The following is a 19,295-nucleotide window of genomic DNA, read 5'->3' as shown; positions in this document are numbered from 1 at the left end:
TCCCTTAGCCGAGGCCTGTCTGCCAAGGGGAAACCCTTTCCTGCGGCTGGCTGCTGGCCCCAGTTGTAAGCTCTGAGATCTGTTATGCAGAAGAATTTCCCATCGGCTGCCCACTGTGCCCCACGCTGTGTGCAGGCCACACATGAACCTCTGCTCTGTGCTGGGGCAGAGGAACAAGCAGCACTCAGCATTCCCGGTGAAAACAGTGGCTGGGGGCTTCCAGAGAGGCCATCAGCTTCTCCCCTGATTCCCTAACTGGATTCTTCTTTTCTGACATTGCACAGAGCAGGGTGGTTGTCATCTGCTCCCATCTCTTGGTTGCCAAGTCCTGCCAGTTCTGCCTCCTAAGTATCTTTCCAATTTTTCCCTTTCTCTGCAACACCAGTACGCCCGACTTTGTTTAGGTGCTCTCACACCTGGAACACTGAAGCAGCCTCCTGCTTGTCTCCAGAATTTCTCCCTCCTGCCCATCCTCTATTCTGGTCCAGTGTGACCTTTCTAAACCAAATCTGGCTGTGCTGTTTCCTTGCTGAAAACTCTTTGATGGCTCCTGTCACCCATGGAATATAGTCCAGAGCCTTAGCTCAGCATCCAGTATCCTCTAGCTATCTGTCTCTCCTAAGTTGTACATTCCACTCATGCATTCTTTTATTCAGGAGACATTTATTAAGTATCAGCGACCATAAGAATTGTATTCACTAACACTTTTTGCACCCTTTCTAGGCACTTTGGGGCCAGGCTAAGCACTCGATATGCATAATCTGTCTTAACCCTTTTAATAACCCTATGAGGCTGGTATTATTTTCATTCCCCTTTGACACATGAGGAAATTGAGCCCAGAAAGTTAACCTAGCCTGCCCAAGATGGCTCAGCTAGGAAGTAATAGAGCCAAGACTTTGTCTCCCAAGCCCATGCTCTTAACCACTCACCAGTCCCAATTTCTTTCATATATATTAGGCCTGAGAATACCTATTAGACTAAACTGGTGGTATCTTTCTCCATACACATATTTTGTAAGAAATATGGGCACAGAATTCATACTACTTAAAAATTATAGAGCTTGCTGCCAACCAGACACTGGCATAGGAATTTGGCAGATTCTTCTCCTAAGTGCTCCAGGGCTGACCACAAGATTCCTGCCTTGAACCCCAGATCCCAGAACCCCCATTCCTGCTTCCTCATGTGGTGCCCATGCTTGGGTTAGTTATAATTTCCCAGGAGGGACCCCTGCGTTTCTCTCTGGACCAGCCCTATGGGGTATGTGGTGGGCACTCAATAACTGCACTGAATTAAATCGGATTGAATTGAACCAAATTGAATTCACAGGCAGATATTCTCCAGCAGTGGCTGGGTCTTAAGTTCATTGTTGTCTTAATCATCTTGTGGTAGATTGCATTGCCTCCTCCATAAGCCAGGCTAAGCACTTAGGTTTTTGAGAATAGTGTATCTTAAGGGGTTTCCATTCAAGCAGGGTAGCTCTTCTGCATAGGCCACTGGAAATAGGTCTGAGTTGTGCGTGTTCTTTGACGTAGTTTTCTGATATGTCTCGGAAGTCAAACAATGTGGGCTTAAGAATCACCCGTACTGCTTACACTGCTGTGTGACCTTTGGCAAGCTACTTAAACTCTCTGGTCTCTGGTTCTTCATCTGTCTGTCCCAACAGGATACTGTGAGAATTAAAATGAGGAATTTAATGTGAACTCTTACTATGCACAATGCATAGTAACAGAACACAGCTTTTGGCAATAATTATAACAGTTGTTTTTCTTTCCATGTCTCTCCTGTCCATGCTGAATTGGACAGTGAGCTGGATTGGGAGCAGGGACAATAAGGAAATGACAGAGGCAGAAATCAGAAAGCATGGTCTTCAGTGGGGCTTGGTCAGCCTAGGGCTCTGGACAAAGGGGGAATTCTTAGCTTCTATGCCTGGGAAAGTACCTGAAGGATATGGAAAATTGAGAGAGGATGAGCCTGGAGAGATAGATGGAGGCCAGATGATTCGTATTTTATTCTGAAGGCAATAGGAAACCGCTGGAAGGTTTACAGCAGGGGAGTAACATTATCAGCTTTGCATTTTTGAAAGACCACCCTGGCTGCTGCTGGAGTACAGGATGGAAGGATGGATGCAGGCACAGACACAAACTGCTCATTGTTGCAGTTGCCCAGGTGAGAGATGATGAGGCCTGAATTAACACAGACAGTATTAGTGGAGACTGAGAGGAGGGAGAGGTTTAACAGACTTAAAAACAGCATCATTTGGTTAGCAATGCAATTAACCTGAGGGACAAAGCGGGAGGAGGAATAAGATGGCTGTCAGCCCTTGGTTTGAGTGGCCAGTGTGTGGGATGGCAGGAAGTGGCAAAGGGGGTGATCATCTTAAGTTTGAGGTGCCCCTGGGGTGATGGCATCTTAAGTTTGAGGTGCCCCTGGGATGCCAGAGGTAGAAGGATGTAAGGATCTAAAGTTTTGGGGAGGAGTAAAGGTTGAAAATAGATGTCTGGGAGCCATCAGCTTAGGTGTGAGGAGAGAGCTTACAACGGGGACACAACAGGGAAAAAGGGAGGATGAGAGGACAAGAGGACAAGCAGAATAAATTAGAGTATTAGGACTTCCTGGGAGCCTAGACTCATCCACTAGAGAGGGTGGGCATGGAGTTGATTGCGCTGACATCCAGCATGTCAGGGAAAGCCCTGGGAATTCCACTGTGTGTCCACTGTGTGTCTGCTATGGTCATGGGAGGCCCTCTAGCTTCCTGCCTGGCCTAGAGAGTCCACTGAATTCCAGTCTGTTGCACTGGCCCATGAACCCCAGCCCCGCCCTGCCCAGCTCATCCTCCTTCTAGGGCTGACCCTCTCCTTCTAACTCCTTCTAAGTTATATTGAAGAGCCCTGGTCTTCATTGGCCATTGCCAATCTCTTCCAAGTCCAAATTCCATAATAAGAGGGAAGGCTTCTATCTGAGAGTGGGCAAAAGAAACATCTTGAAAGTGGGGCCTTGTTTCCCAATTCAAGGCATGTGTCCCAGGGATCATATGGGTCTTTGACTGTAGACTCCCTGAGAAGGCTTGGAGAGTTCCCATATGTGTTAAGGCCTTCTAACTTCTTGGCTCCATGGATACTTCTCTGAACTAAACAAATGAAAGTGTCTAGATTTCACACTCACAGACTATAACTCGGTTGATTAGGAGTTGATCCGGAAATCTACATTTTCAATACTCACCCTAGGCTATCTCGATACAACTAGTCAGAGACCACCTTGGAGAAATACTGACTTAAAAAAAAAAGGCAACTGTGAGGGGACCTAACATCTAACAACCATCCACAATTTGCCCTACTATTGACATTTCATTTAGTCCTTACTAAATGAGGTGAGGTAAATGTGTCATCATTTATTCTAGAGGAAATCATCTGAGGCTCGGAGATATTTAGCAACTTGCCCAACTACACACAGCTGGTTGCTGGCAGATTCAAAATTGGAAGCCCAGGTCTTTTTTACTCCGCAGCCTAAGACATATACCAATATATCACCTACTGAGAGGAAAATGGCCCCTGTTTTTGGGTAGCTAAATGTCCATTCTATGGAAGAAAGTTTAAATAACTGGGAGAAACTGAACCAATGGGTAGTTGCAGGAGTCAAACCTTGACTCAGTGCAAAGATCTTTGTAATAAAATGGAATAGCTTCCTTGGGGAGACCATTGGAAGAGTCAAGGAGGGGCTGGACAAACACCAGCCTCCAGCTGGTGTGGTAGAGAGAATTTATGAAGTAGGCTGGAGTACATGACTCTGAATCCCTTTCAAGCCTGTGATGAGTAAGATATGGAGCTTTGATAACTTGATTGCCTGAATTTGGTGCTCCTGTTGGCTCTAGACTGCATCCGTAGCCACGAAGGGAAGAAAAGGAGGAAGAGAAGGGAAGGAAAGAAGGAAGAATGGAAGGAAGAAAGGAAAGGGGGAAGTTAGCTAGTAAATTCAGGGTATGAGGATTGAGAAAACTATGGATCCTGAATCTTCCATTCTTTATTGAGTAATTTCTTAACTAGGAAACAACTGAGAAAGCATGCTGTGACCTCAAAGAGATAGGTACCTCCATTTTTCTTTATGGATGATTGAAGTGTATGCCCAGTGTTGACCTCTGCAGTGAACTCATGGCATTAATGGGGAATCCTCCTTGAACCAAATTTTAGAGAAACAGGCAAGTTTTCACATGTGCCCTTATCACTAATGCCAGCCTAATGCCCTATTCTACAAAGGATTAACAGTCAATAGAAAGGTAGATATGTTTCATTTCTCTTTGGTCTGAACATTCTCAAGTGGGAAGAGTCGTGACATAGGCAGCTTTAGAGAAAGTATGAAATTACAAATGTTGTCCATTGACAGCCTGTCCTTTGAAGCTGTCTCATTAGACCATCAGTCTTCACCTAAGTCACTTTCAGTCCTCCAGACTCAATTACCTCTGGCCACCCCACTCCCATCTCCCCACTGAAGTTCTGCCATAGCCCCGTGGATACCAGTACTCACATTTGCCTCCAGTTCTCCATTCATAGCTGTTTAATCTTAGACAAGTCACTGAACCTCTTAGAACTTCATGTCCTGTTGGTGGGATTATAAATGGCACAACTTTTTTGGAAGGTAATTTTCATGGTAGGAATTAAAACGTGAAATGTGGATACCACTTTTAGGGATTTATACCAAGGAACTAGGGAATAGTGAGAGGCTGGTGCAAAATGATATGTGCAAGGATGTTCACTGCAGCATTATTTATTATAATGGGGAAAAGGAAACAGTATATGTCCAATATTAATGGTTCCATAAACTGGCACCTGTGGCTGATACAACACATGGGGATTAAAATTATAATTTCAGAAACTTTCGAATAAATTTGAAAATGCTTAATATAGGATATTAAGTTAAAAAATTAATATACAAAACTGAATATGTAGTTTAAATACACAGTACTAATGCATTTTATTATTTATGTTCTTTTGTATTTCTAAGTTTTATAATAAGCTTATATTACTTTCTGCACACAGAAAAACAAGTAAAAGTTAAAATATATTTTGAAAGCTCCCACCACCTACAGGATTAGGAACAAATTTTCTAACAGAAGATTTTATAATCCGACTCCATCCCAACTCAGCTCCTTCATTTTCTGTCACTTCCTCCCCATCATCTTCAGTTCCCCACACCATTCCCTCCCTTGCACCTTGCTTTAACTACCCCACGCTGCTTGGCATTCTGTAAACACACCATAACTATGCATACTGCCATGCTGCCATGCCTTCATGCTTCCTGCTTTCCCTAGCCAAAACGACCTTCCCCACATTTTTCAAGAACTAATTCAGGCATCTCCACTTCTTCCTTGACAGTTAATTATTTCCTGCCCCTTTCTCCTACAGAACAGTTTTTATATACTTAATAATTACTTATTTAGTAGCTGTTATTCTCATTTTACTTTTCTTCAACATTTGTGGGAACCCCAAGGAGGGAAGACTGACTGTCTCAGAGGATCAGGAAAGGATTCACAGAGGAGGGTTGCAGGAAAATGAATAGGAGTTTGTCCACTAGACAGAAAGACAATAAATGCCCTGACAGAACTCCAGAATGAGTTCCCAGCTTGTATCTATTTCTCTCATAACTCTTTTCTCCCTGCGTAATGTGTTGCTTATGGGTACATGTCTCTTCCCTACCAGCGAGGTCATTAAGAGCAGAAAATGTGCCTTGTTTGCCTTGTGGTGTTTAGCACAGTGCCTGGGCATCATAAATATATTTTTGTCCCAGAGCATGAAGGTCCAAAAATAACAATACAGTAATTACCTTTCTCCTTGTTTCAGGGTGAATGGGGGAAAATCATATTCTTATTGTCACTTATCACTGGTTTCAAGTATGAGCCCAGAGATGCTGAAAATGCTTTATATTTTGCTAATTTGAACCAAATTGAAGAAGTTGTCCCCTTGGTAGGTCTTAAGAGGATATTCTGCAAAATTTGTACTTTCTTTGAGTATAAGAATTGTACCAATATGAGCTTTGCTTCCCCTTTAAACAGCATGCCACAAGAATGATGCCTTTGAAATAAATCCTGTTTGAGTAATGTTTCTCTTGGACTCATAAAATCTTTATGGAAATCTTTTCTCATCTCATAGACTATGAGAAGAAAGAGAGAGCCAAAACCACTGAGCTGTAAGTGAAGAGCGCAGTCTTTTCTCATATGTGGGTCACACTTTAATGTAAATAGTTTTTAAATGCAAATCCCATACCGACTACACATTAGCTCAAAAATCCTAGCTCTGTCCAAGTGCTGAATCTGTGAGTTAAGATCTCTTAATCTCTGATTAAAGAGTAGGTGGTATGGAAATGTATCCATTCAGATAGAAAGTTTGAATGTATTAAAAGATCCAGTAATAGCCATACTAGGGATAAGAACACAAATGCTGGCAGAAATAAAAACAGCTTTATGTCCTCCCTCAAAAAGAGAGAGAGAGAGAAGCAGTAAGTTGGCAGAGCTGAGCTCTCAACCCAGCTATGCAAAGGGGCACTGACTTGGGAGCCATACACTCATTCAGCATACATTTTTGGGGTGCCTGGTATATAATAGGCATTATACAATGACATTAAATTAGATAAATCATCATTTTTGGTCTCCATGAGGTCACAATCAGTGTTTGCTCATCCACTGACTAGCTGTTAACTTTGAGCAATTTACTTAACCTTTCAAGCTTCAGGTTTTTCATTTTAAAATTTTGGATAATAGGATCTTACTAGATTACTGTGCAGATTAAATAAGGTAATGTTTACAAAGCACTTTGCATAGAACTTAACATATTATAAACTCTCAATGAGTGTTACATATTAGTATCAGGTGTGATGCGCTATGCTAAATTCTTTATATTCATGCTCTCATTTGTTCTCTCATTTGCTCTACACCTGTCACCTTGAGTAGGTTTTAATTCACCCTTTACACGGACAAGAAGAAGGAGGATCAGAAGAATGTGGTTTGCTAACTTGCCAAGTTCATACAGTTAGTAGTGGGAACAGCATTCAAAGCCAGTTCTTTCTTCATCTAAAACCAATGCTCATGATTATAGTGGTGGTGGTTAGAGCAGGAATGGGGGAGAGACACCAATGCTTGCTATCAGCCACCCAATATTGTAAGACAAAATCTCCTACCCTCATCAGGACTGGCATTTTTGGGAAGGCAAAGTCTAAGGGAATGAGGTGGTCACATGACTCAGGTATTTGTGTGACTTTCAGGTCAGGGACATTTGTGGGTTAATAGATATGGGGAAGATAAATCCCAACCCTTGGGAGAGTAGGCCCAAAGTCCATCCATCCAGAAACAGTTTCACAAAACTGCTAGCCCATGGGGGAGCAAGAAATGGGACCAGAGATTGAAGCAGACCAACCAGACAGATGGGCCACACTTAAGTGGAGTGGTTAATGATCAAGGCTGCAGGGATTCCAGGGACTAAATCCCTGGCTCCTGGGATCTTAGTGGGAGGTGGTGGGGAGGACAGCAGACTATTTCCAGAATCTACTCGACAAGTGGAAAAGGGGCTCATAATGAATTTCCTGCTGGAGACAATTGTCACTGGGACAGGGCAGGTTGACCCTGAATATGTGACCAAGCAAAGGCTAAGCAAAAGCTGGCACCATAGAAGCCACCAACTCACACATTCCAGTTGGAACCTCCAGCCGAGAGAACTCTTTGATTGTGTTGGTCTGCATCCTGTGGCTTAGGGACAGTGGGAGTTCTGAACTAGTGACCACACATTGTTACCGCGGTAAGAAGAATGTGCTTTTTCTTTTCGTTCAAGAGCTTATGATTCAGTCCTATGGATTCATATAAATAGATATTCTCTTTGCTTTACTACCTGTGGCAAATAGGACTACAAAGCACAATAGCACCCTGTCCCCCTCCCCAGGGCTGTCCCATAAACAGTGGGAGTTATCTGAGTTCCCTTGATTGAAATTGGAAAGGTCATATCTCAATAGTATCTTTAGGGCTTGCTTTTCCCATTTGTGACAATCTTGGACTGTCCTCAGGCCTCCCTAAGGTGTCCTTCCAGCTCTGACCTTCCAAGGGTGTCTTTCGGACACAGAGAGTTTGGCCAGCCATCAAGCAGGTAAACAGATCAATGAGGGCTGTTCACTGAATTGTGCTCCTGGGCCTCTACTACTGCTTTCAGCCCTTGCTGCCACTGTCAGATCAATGCGGGGAGCAGATGGCTGTGCTGTGTCACAATAATGGCTCCTTTGAAGAGACTTTGCTCAGTCCTTCTCCTGTAAGCTAGGGAGGTGAGGGGCAGCTGCACCCAACACCTGGCAGCTCAAGGGAGGCCCATGTTGGCTTCTAATAAAAGCAGCGGGGGTGTCTGGAATGGACCACATGTGGGTCTCCCACTCACCTGTGATGCTGTCTGTCCCCGTCAGAGGGGAAGTGTGGTTGCTCACATCTCATGTACATCTAGCCCATGTGGTGCTGGCCTCATCGTCTACTGAAGCTGAAGGAAAGCATGTTGTGTCCAAAAGAAACAAAGCAGGATTTTCAGCTTGTTTGCAGTAACGGCCTCACGGGATGGCTCCTGGCTTAGGAATCAGAGAATTTGCTGAACAAATACATGGGCAGAAAGTGCTGAAAAGCAACTCTCAGATATTACATGGTCTATTCCCCTTCTCTCTGCTTGGTCCCAAATGGTCACTCCAGCCCCTGAGTCTGCCTGACCTTCAAATCCAGGAACCCAACTCCCAGTTTCCACATCTCTTAATTCAAACTATCAAGAGAGAGAATCTGATTGGCTCCACTCATCAGTCGAGTGTCTCCACTCCTTGTCCAATCAGCTGCAGCTAGAAAGGGGCAAGCTCAGCTTGTACCAGTATAGCTGCAGGAGCCCCTCCCTTCAGCAGCGCAATCCTGAAAAGAGGGCAGGGGCTTGGCAGCAACCCTGGGCATATCTTCGACATTAACTTAACATCTCTCTCTTCTCTGTGGTCTCTCTCAGAAAGTAATAGGGAAAAGTATTCTTTTCAATTTGCCCCCTTGAGCTACACAAAATAATACAGACTAAGGGCCTGGCATTCAGTGAAGAGAACTTGAGAGCAATTTCGGGGTGCCTTTACCACTACAGTATTGTCTTGTCTGCCTTTCACAGTCTGCAAAAGGGAGCTCTGTAAATACCAGGGATTTTGTGATTATTATGAATCCTCTAAGCAGCTAAATTTCCCAAATTCTCAGAGTTGTAATGCCTCGGGATTTAGAGATATAATTAAGAACAGATGAGCCTCACAAAGGTTGATGGTGAGGATCTGGGATTGCATCAAGCCACAGAGAGAATTTTGCTGTGAGTTCCAGGCCCTCATCTCCCCCAGTGCGACAAGGGGGACAAGTCCAGTGGGACAAGGACTGGAGGGGGTGATGGCACACAGGACCTCTGTTAACGAGCCATTGGGCCCAGGAATCCTGACCTCTCATTTTCCCAGAACTTGTGACACAATCTATAAACCCACTCAACAGGTTAGGAAGAGGCAATGCTGAGTCAGCCCTGGGCTGTGCGCCATAGCCATCCTGAACAGCTTTCTGCCATTACAGGATAGAATAAGACCAGCCAGGTGTGGCCCATTTCCTCTCAGCAGCCATTTGCCTTCTGCCCACACATCGATCTTGCCAAAAGAGGGCTTGTGCTGCAGCATTGAGTCATTCTCCTACCCTCTTTAGTTTATACTCATTTTTCAGGGTTTTCTCTGACTCTACTACTTACTGAAAGGTGTAGAAATACTAATAAGGCAATACTATGTTTTATTTGATCTATAGACTGCAGCAACCTGAATCTATATTATCTGTCATGCCAAGAATGTTTTGACCTTCTAAAAGGAAATGAATGCTCTCCGGACCAGAGCCAAGCAAGCAGCTTAGACCCATTCACAAGCAAAAGTCTGGGGCCTTGAGAGTTCCAGGGCATTAAATCACCATCAGAATAAGACTAGGGTCTTGAAGCTCATGATCTGGAGCACTTAGAGTGGACAAGGAGCAATGACCCCACAGCTACTATGACACATGGTAGAGTGTGGGTGCTGCAGCCAGGATGCCTGAGTTCTGCTACTTGATAGCTGTGTGACCTCAAGCAAGTCGCCTAACCTCTCTGTGTCTCCATCTTCTCACCTGCAAGCCACAGGTTATAAAGGGTTGCTGTAATAGATGAGTAAATACATGCGAGGGACTTAGAACAGTGCCTGGCGTTCAGTAAATACTCAGGGCAGCATCTGTGTCCCAAGTGGTACGTAAGTTCTTTATGCCATGTCTTCTCATTCTATTCCCATATGACCCTGAGAAACAGCTTTTGGTGTTGCCATTATACATAAGAATAAAGTGAATTTCTCATGTTCGACAAATTGCCCAGGGCCACATGGCTAGTAAGTAGCAATGACAGATTCCCAAGGTAGAGATCTCTGACTACAAATCCTGTGTTCTATCTCTTGACCAGTTCCCCTCATGGTCAGGCTGGCTTCCCGTAATTACAAACTCTCCCCTTTAGTTCCCTCTGTTGTCTCTTGATGCTCACTTGACTTTCAGGGACTCTGGAATCTCTGCTGCTTCCCAGCTGTGAGACAACTAAGACCAGGCAATCTGTCTTTGCCTCAATTTCTTTATTTCTGTAAACTGGCATAGTAACAGGGCCTGCTGAGAAGGAGAACAGCAGCCCCTGATGGCTGCAAGCTGGCCTGGCACTATCAGTAAGGCCTTTTGCTGCCGAGAGCTGGCCTGGCACCTACACCTAGACCTTGGGGTTCTCCTGTTGACCATAAACAATTTCACTGAATGTCAATGCCGGACAAAACCACTCTAGGACCCTGATAGATGAAGACAAAAACAAGACCATTTCAACATCATGAATTCAGACAAAAACAAGAACATTATTCAAAATACAAAGATGACTTAACAGCCCCCCTCCCTCCACCTCTTGGCTGATGTGAGTGATGGCTGCTTCTTTACCAATTACAACTCTTATCTTCCTTCATTCCTCCTGCCTTGTAAATAAAATTTATGAAGTACCCAACCAGAGAATTACACCTACCTCCAGTCTCCAATCCAGGGCAAAGCTCTGCTTCCTTGAACCCTCCCCCAATTAACTAACACAAGCCCGAATCCTACAGTGAATTATTTCTTACCTTCTTACTGAGACACTGCACAGCTCCCTGTGGTGTGCATTCTCCCTCACTGCCACCAGTCAGCAAACCCAACTTTGTTCAACTACAGGGAGGTCCATGGTGGTCATTGGCCGGGGGCTGACACTGCCTCTAGAATTATACGTGATGATATCTGGAGAACACTTAGAAATAGGGCTTAGTCCATAGTAAACGCCCAAAACATGTCAGTCATGAGCATGACATTTATTATAAGAAATACCCTTCCTCTTTGGACAGAGCTAAGGAGCATACATTTGCTCTCACTAACCAGCCCCCTTCTTTTCTGAAGTCCATGCAGTTCCCCCGCCCCTTATGTTTGCCCTGGGCACTGAAGCATTCTCTTTTTGCATTTCACAGATCTTCACACTGCAGACCTCAAACCTAGAAAAATCTGTTTTGCCCATGACATTGGAGGCTGTTGTCTGCCCTGTCTCTGGGATCCCAATGAAGGACATCCTCTCAGGGTATTTAGACAGCATAGAGGGGTGGGAGTGGGGGCTAGATGAGCAGTGGACTGATGATCAGGCCTTGGCGGCCCTTTCCCACTTCCTGGCAGAGTAGATACTTTGCACATGGAAGTTCCCTCACCCACTTGCCAGGGCTGTGCGGGCCAGAGGAGCCTGGCCAGATTCTTCATCACAAATGTACTCGCAGCTGCATCAGTGAGGGACAGCCCCAGGGACCACAGAGTTCTTCCATGCCCACTGCTGCTAATTAGAGATAATACATTAAAAATACAGAGCCGCATCTGTTCGTTGTAACATGGGTATCGAGGAATTTACGTGGTTTATAATGACAGAGTGTGGGGAGAGGAAAATGCTGATTCTGTCTGGGAGCCAGAGGCACAGCTGTGGGCGAAGAGCTGGAGGTGTGGTTTCTGGTGCCCATCAAACTCTCTGGGTGCTAACCAAGCCCTCCCTTTGAGACACCCAGGGATAGATCCAGGTACTTATCTGGAAATACCAAGCTAGGTAACATGACCAGTCAAGCACAAAGTGGATGTCCAGATGCCCAGGAGGCCTTCTGGCCCACATGCAAAATACATGTCCCTTCCACACACAAAATACAAATACTCTGGTATTTGCAAAGAGTTCTTGAGAGAAGGGAGACACAGGACAGAAGAAAAAACATGCTTCTCATGATTCAATTGTTCATTTTCCATCAAACATGAACTGAGCACCTAACCTGCTGTTCAAGTTGTCTGTAAAATGGGGTGTTTAAAGTACCGCTCTCATTGAATGTTTTTCTTAAGTAAAATAATTGCATTAAATGGCTTCAAACAGTACCCAAATCATCTAACACAAGCCCAAATCCTGCAATGAATTATTTCTTACCAGGTATGATGTAGGCATTCAATAAAAGTGTGCTATTATCATTCTACTCCATGTGACGCATTGTGTTAAATTTTAGAGCACTGTGATGAATAAGGCAAGATCCCTTCCCTTCTCTACCAGTTGAGGGGACAAACAGTTGCTATAATGTGCTGTGCATTGGGATGGCATTGTATGAACTTACATAAGCTATTATGGGAACACACAAGGGAGTTGGAGCATCAAAGACAGCTTCCTAGAGGAAGGGATACCTGACCTAAGTCTGTAGAACAGGTTGAAGTCTACCAGACCTAAAAGGTAGGAGAGATGAGAAGTATGTGCAAAGGCCCTGGGGAGGAGAGAGTGTAATGTTTCTGGGGAAAATGCAGTGTAGCCCGACCTTAGGGCAGGTGCGTTAGGTGTCTGTTGCTGTGTCACATATTACTCCAAAGCTTAGTGGTTTGAAACAACATTTATTAGCTCATATTTTCTCTGTGTTAGGAATGTAAGCGTAGCTTAATTGGGTTCTCTGGCTTAGGGTTTCTCATAAGGCTTCAATCAAGGTGTCCACTAGGGCGGCAGTCATCTCAAAGCTCAACTAGAGGGGAGGACAAGCTTCCAAGTTTCTTCACATAATTGTTTGCTGGATTCAGTTCCTCAGTGCTATTGACCAGAGACAGCCCTCAGTTCTTCTCCAAAGGGAAGCTTTCAACCCAGCTGCTTCATCAGAGCAAGCCAGAGAGTAGAGCCAGAGAGAGAGGATAAGACAGAAGTGACAGTCTTTTATAACCTGATATGAGAAGTGACATTCTATCACTTTTTCTGTATTCTATTCTTTAGAAGCAAATCACTAGGTCCAGCCCACACACAAAGGGAGGGGACTGCACAAGGACATGAATACCAGAAGAGAAAGAAATTTAGAGTCATTTCTGAAGCTGCCTATCACAATCTACCCTCTGGCTCTCCAATGATTCTTGTCCCTTCCACATGCAGAATACATGTCCCTTCCACACACAAAATGCAATCATCCTTCCCAAGGTCTCTAACATCTCCTCCCGTGGGAGCACCAACTGAAAGTCCAGGATCTCATCATCTAAATCAGGTGCAGGTGTGGATGAGGCTCTTGGGTATAATTCCTTAAGTACAAGTTCTAGAATACTGTTACTACAGATTTGGTGATTTGAAAAGCTAAGGAGATAAATTATCTGCCCCCCATATGCCCAACATACAATGGCAGGTTAGGTATAGAGGAATGGCTATAAACACTGCTACTCAAAGGGAGGAAAATGTGAGGAACAAAGGCGTCACTGGTCCGTAACAATTTTGAAATCCAGCCAGGAAAAGACTGCAAGTTTCTTGGTTAGGTTTCAAAGCCTGGGGATAATTCTCCATGACTCTTAGCTCCACCTTCTAAGCTCTTGGTTCTTCCCTCTGAGTAATCCTTCCTTTTTCATGAAAGGAAACCTGTGTTTAAAGCTGACTTGTTTTCTCAGCCTGTTTCCTGCTGAGAATTTTAGGGGTCCAATGGCCTCATTTTATTTTGTACTGTCTCTGTTCCTTTCTGTCCCAGCTGTGTTTCTTCTCATAGGTTTTCTCAGAAACCTTCTGGGTCTTCTGTAAATTGCACTGAGATTCCCTCTATTACACAAAAAAACAAACCCACAAATTTCTTTGAGAACTAAACTTTTCAACCTGAGCCTCTTGAAAAGATGGCCAAGGGACAGCCCCTTGGCTTCCTAGAGTCCCTATTGTTTGATCTGGAGGATCTATGAGGCCTACCCTAATCTCTTTAAAGGGCCTTTGTATGACTGAATAATACCATGATCTTTTGATCTTTCTGAAGTCTTAACCAAAGGCCCACAGTCACACCCACAGCTTTATCTCAGACCACCATTTCTTGCTCAAATGCCATTTCTTAATTTTAGCACCTTTTGCTGACTTGGGAGACTGAGAATTTTCAAAACTATCAGGTCCTGTCTCACTTTAACTTTTTTTTTTCTCTCTTCTCACATAAGCAGTAAGAAGAAATTATTTTCAACACTTTGCTTGGACATCTCCATAGCTAGATCACTAAGTTTATTAGGTACATATTTTGCTTTCCATGTAACTGCAGACAATAGTGGCACTAAGCTTTCTACCACTACCTAACAAGGATGTCCCTCCTCCATGATATGGTTTGCATGGGTCCCCCAAATGTCATGTGCTGGAAAGTTAATCCCCAATATGGTAGTGTTGAAAGGTGGGGACTTAAAGAGGTGATTGGATCATGAGAACCCTGTCTTCATGAATGGGTTAATCCATCCATGGATTAATGGGTTATCACAAGAGTGGGACTGGTGGCTTTATAAGAACAGGAAGAGGCCAGGCATGATGGCTCGTGCCGTAATCCCAGCACTTTGGGAGGCTGAGGCAGGTGGATCAGGAGTTCGAGCCCAGCCTGGCAAACACGGTGAAACCCCATCTCTATGAAAAATACGAAAATTAGCCAGATGTGGTGGCACACACCTGTAGTCCCAGCTACTTGTGAGGCTGAGACAGGAGAATCACTTGAACCCAGGAGGTGAGGGCTGTAGTGAGCCGAGATCACGCTACTACACTCCAGCCTGGGCAACAGAGCGAGACTCCATCTCAAAAACAAAACAAAAGAAGAGAGACCTGAGCAGGCACATCAACATGCTCAGTCCTCTCTGCAGACAGTCCTCACCAATAAGAAGGCTCTCACCAGATGCAGCCCTTTGACCTTGGACTCCTCAGCCTCTGTAACTGGTAACTGTCAAATAAATTTCTTTTCTTTACAAATTACCCAGCTTTAGATATTCTGTTACAGGCAATAGAAAATGGACAAAGACATTCTAGTTTCCAATAACATGTTCATCACTTCTTTTAAGCCCCCACCAGCTGTATCCTCAAAGTCCAGATTTCTACAGTGTCTTCAATTGTCTTTGAGGCAATTGAAGATTTCTCTAACAAGCTTCTCAGAATACTTCTCACCTCTGCCCACTGCCTGGTTCCAAAGCTATCTCACATTTTTAGGTATATGTCATGATACTATCCTTCTCTTGATGCCAAAATCTGTACTCATCATTTCAGTTTGTAACAAATTATCTGAAGCCTTAGTGCCATGAAACACCTATTAGTTTCTATGGGTCAAGAATCAGGTACAGTTTAGCTGAGTCCGTCACAAGGCTGCAGTAAAGGTGTCCACTGGGGCTGCAGGCATCTCAAAGGGGAGTGATCCACTTCCAGGCTTACTTACGGTTATTGGCAGGGTTCAGTTCCTTGCAGGCTGTTTGACTGAGGGCCTGAGTTCCTCACTGGGTGTTGGCCAGAAGCCACCCTCTGTTCCTTGCCACATGAGCCTCTCCATAGGGCAGCTTTCAGCATGTCAGTTTGCTTCAAGTGAGAGAGAAGAGGCAGAGAGAGCGGTCACAGCCTTTCATAGCCTAACATCAGAAGTGAAATCCTATCACTTTGGCCACCAGGTCTAGCCCACACTCAAAGGGAGGGGATTACACAGAGTGTGAATTTCAGGAGTTGGAGATCACTGGGAGCCATTTCAGAAACTGCCTACCACGGTGAATATCAGGGACAGCACAACTAGCAATGCCCCAGTGGCCTGATTATGCCATGTCAGACTCCCATAGGTGATGGACAACCACTGAAATATTTCACCGTTGAAGGGGAGACATAGAAATGTCACCCAGCAGCCTGAACAGAGAAAGCATTGGAAATGCAGCACTGGGTAGGGAGAGCTGTTGCAATGCAACTACCTCAAGGGATGGCCTCATAATGAAATGTTCATTGTGTCACTGGTAATCCAACCCAGAGGTCAGGGCCAACCTGAAGGGTCGTATCCCCTTTGGGCCCTGGGCCAAGCTTTATCTCCTGCTTGAAGCTATCTTCTTGTGTGCTGCTCTTGCCTTTTGAACCCATCCTTTAGAGACCAAGGCAGGCAACCCCATTCCTAGGGCACTGCTTATGCATCAGATGCCACTTAACGATGATGTCCCAGGCATTTCATTTATTCCCTAGCACACCTAAGGGGCAGGTACTGTTTGATGGAAGTGTGACAAGTGGTCACATGATAGGACAAAGGGGCATCAATGCCTTTGTGACCTCATCCTGGTGACCTCACCCCATCCACAGACCTGACTTCCTATCTTAAAGGCCCAGGAATTGGACATTTTTTGCCCTCAAATAATTGATATTTTAGTGGAAGCTAAAACCAAGATTCCTATGCTGCTGTGTGGCCCGGATGCCAGTTGATTGTTTTGCAACTGATACCAACTTCTCTGTTGGAATTTGAGGGAAACCCAATAAATAAATATACTTATTCCCCTCTCAAGTGCAGAATCAATTGGCAGATGCAAGAGAAAAACAGATGAGGATCAGCATGTCACCTTTATTACTGATGAACTGATTGGAGAGCTGTCTGAATATGCTCTGCAGCTAGGGCGATGGGGAGAGAGAGAAAGGGAGAGTGGGGAGGGCTAACTGAGCATGGTCTGCTCCTCCTCCCAAACCCACCAGCCAGATGAGCCATGCCTCCTACGCAGAGTGAATGAGGGGCTACAAGAAGGAGAATTTGTCTGTGGTCCTGGGACCAGGAGCATCAGTATCACCTGGGAACTTTCAGAAATGCAAATTATAGATCCAACTCCCAGAAATACTAAATCAAACTCTGGGGGTAAGGCCCGGCAATCTGTGTTTTAATAAGCCCTGCAGGTGATTCTAACACAGGCTTAAAGCTGAGAACCACTGGCCTTTTGGGAGTTGTTCCCCACAAGGCCCAGGAAGAAGTATTCCCCTGGAATATTTTGCCACCCGTGCCCACCCATTTCCTCCATTTCCTGAGAAAACATATCCCAGAGATAGGATTCACAGTTCCCACATTTGGTTTTTAGCTTCCAGCTGCTCCAAGGAATACCAAGTGGAGGCTTCTCATTATCTCCCTTCTTTCCTAAGGGAAAAAATGCCATGGATTTGGTGTCTTCTTTCTTGCAATCCTTTAGAGGGGCAGAGGGGTAATCCCCTTGTTGGCACTTGATAGTCTCTGAAGACCCTAGAATGATGAGTAACACAAAGTCAGAGATGGAAGCACGTGGTTCTCCACTACTGAAATCTCTCTGTGGCTCTCAGTTGCACTTAGATTTCCACATAAACCCCTTGCCAAGGCCTTCACCCTTCCAAACACATCTCGCCCATTTGTTCACACCTCCAGTTGCTCCGGCCTCCCTCTGTCCCTCTAATATGCCAAGCTCGCTTCTGCAAGGACCTTTGCACTTGCTTCCCTGCTGCTTGGAGGACTCTTCTCTTACACCTTGGCTTGTCTGGCTCCTTCTTGCCCTTTAAATCCAAACCCAAATGCCAGCTCCGCAGAAAACTTCTGACCATCCATTTCAAGTGCCCTCTATCCTATCTATCATCATTTATCTCATTACCCACGTTTATTTTCTAGTGAGTACTTTACCCTATCAAAAACTGATTCGATATATGTATTTGTGTTGTTTGTTTGTTTGTTTGTTTGTTAAGATGGAGTCTCACTCTGTCACCCAGGCTGGAGTGCAATGGTGCAATCTGGGCTCGCTGCAACCTCCACCTCCTGGGTTCAAGCAATTCTCCTGCCTCAGCCTCCTGAGTAGCTGAGATTACAGGCACGTGCCACCACACCTGGCTAATTTTTGTATTTTTAGTAGACATGGGGTTTCACCATGTTGATCAGGCTGGTCTCAAATTCCTGACCTCATGAAACACCCACCTCGGCCTCCCAAAGTGCTGGGATTACAGGTATGAGCCACCGCGCCTGGCCTATTTGTTGTTTTTTTAATTGTCTGTCTCTCCTCACCGGAACGTGAGAGATGAGGAACCTTGTTGTATTCCCAGCACCAGAATAGTTGCTGTTATATTGCAGGCATAAGATTTATGTAAATATCTGTTGAATGAATGAGTAAGTAAATTAATGACTACATGAACACAGAAAAACGGTTGAGGAGAGAAGGATCAGAGTTGAGTGATTCAGTCATCAAGATGGTGATGGGCCTGCCTTCCTCTTCTCAAGGACAGGAGCACCTGAGGCCAGCTGAGTGGGCCTGGAATGCTGGCACCACACCAGATTGTCCATCTACTTTTTCTCTCACCCATTATCTTAGGTCCAGGCTCCCCCAACTTCTCCTCCTCCTTCCCTCCCTCTCTCTCCATTGTCATTACATTACAGTCATTAGAAGCCAGCAGATTCAGACCCTCCTATTGTCTTTTTCATAAAGGACTGTTAATGGAGTTAGTTTTCAGCAGGGGAACTGCAAACTCTTGTCAAAACTCTGACTTGGCCACCCACATTCACATAATTAATCACACAGGAAACCAGAAAGGGGTGGCATGAGAGCTGGGGCCTAGCTGTGTGGGGGCCCTCTTCCCAGAGAGGAGTGTGGTACATCACACAGCTGCTGCCCACCAAGAGCCCACATTTCAGGCTGGAAACAAGACAACCCAACTGGAACTACTACTGGGTAATACAAATCAGGATCTAATTAGCACTGGACGGTGGGAGGTGGCCCTCCACCTTCAAGATGTTGGTAACAAGAGATTGGTAACAAAGGAAAGGAAATTAAATGGGGAAGGTAGAGGCTGGAGATAGAAACAAGATTAAAGACAGTCTCTTCTAGAATTATAAGGAAGAGGGCATTTATTGAGTAATGTATTCTCTATTGCTGTGTAACAAATTACCACAGACTTAGTGGCTTAAAACAAAATACACTCATATGGTTTAAACATTTATAGTTTTAAACTTACATTTATACAGTTTCTGTG

At 44.7% G+C, this 19,295-nt stretch overlaps 1 protein-coding gene and 1 long non-coding RNA gene across 13 annotated transcripts in view; one reads left to right on the top strand and one right to left on the bottom strand.

Annotated features, from left to right (window-relative positions):
- CSMD2 (CUB and Sushi multiple domains 2) overlaps nt 1-19,295 on the top strand; it is a 651,845-nt gene that overhangs the window by 279,090 nt on the left and 353,460 nt on the right. The gene's annotated exons all lie outside the window — the stretch shown is intronic.
- On the bottom strand, nt 1,295-17,797 carry CSMD2-AS1 (CSMD2 antisense RNA 1). Its single transcript, NR_038372.1, has 8 exons — nt 17,704-17,797; nt 17,416-17,550; nt 15,745-15,881; nt 11,161-11,287; nt 8,403-8,583; nt 4,519-4,590; nt 1,939-2,183; nt 1,295-1,667 (listed from the first exon to the last, which is right to left on the bottom strand). It is a non-coding gene; the product is annotated as a CSMD2 antisense RNA 1 (long non-coding RNA).

This window comes from Homo sapiens, chromosome 1 (assembly GCF_000001405.40).
Source record: "Homo sapiens chromosome 1, GRCh38.p14 Primary Assembly".
In the NCBI taxonomy this organism is placed as follows: domain Eukaryota; kingdom Metazoa; phylum Chordata; class Mammalia; order Primates; family Hominidae; genus Homo; species Homo sapiens.
This window is presented reverse-complemented; position numbering and strand designations above follow the sequence as displayed.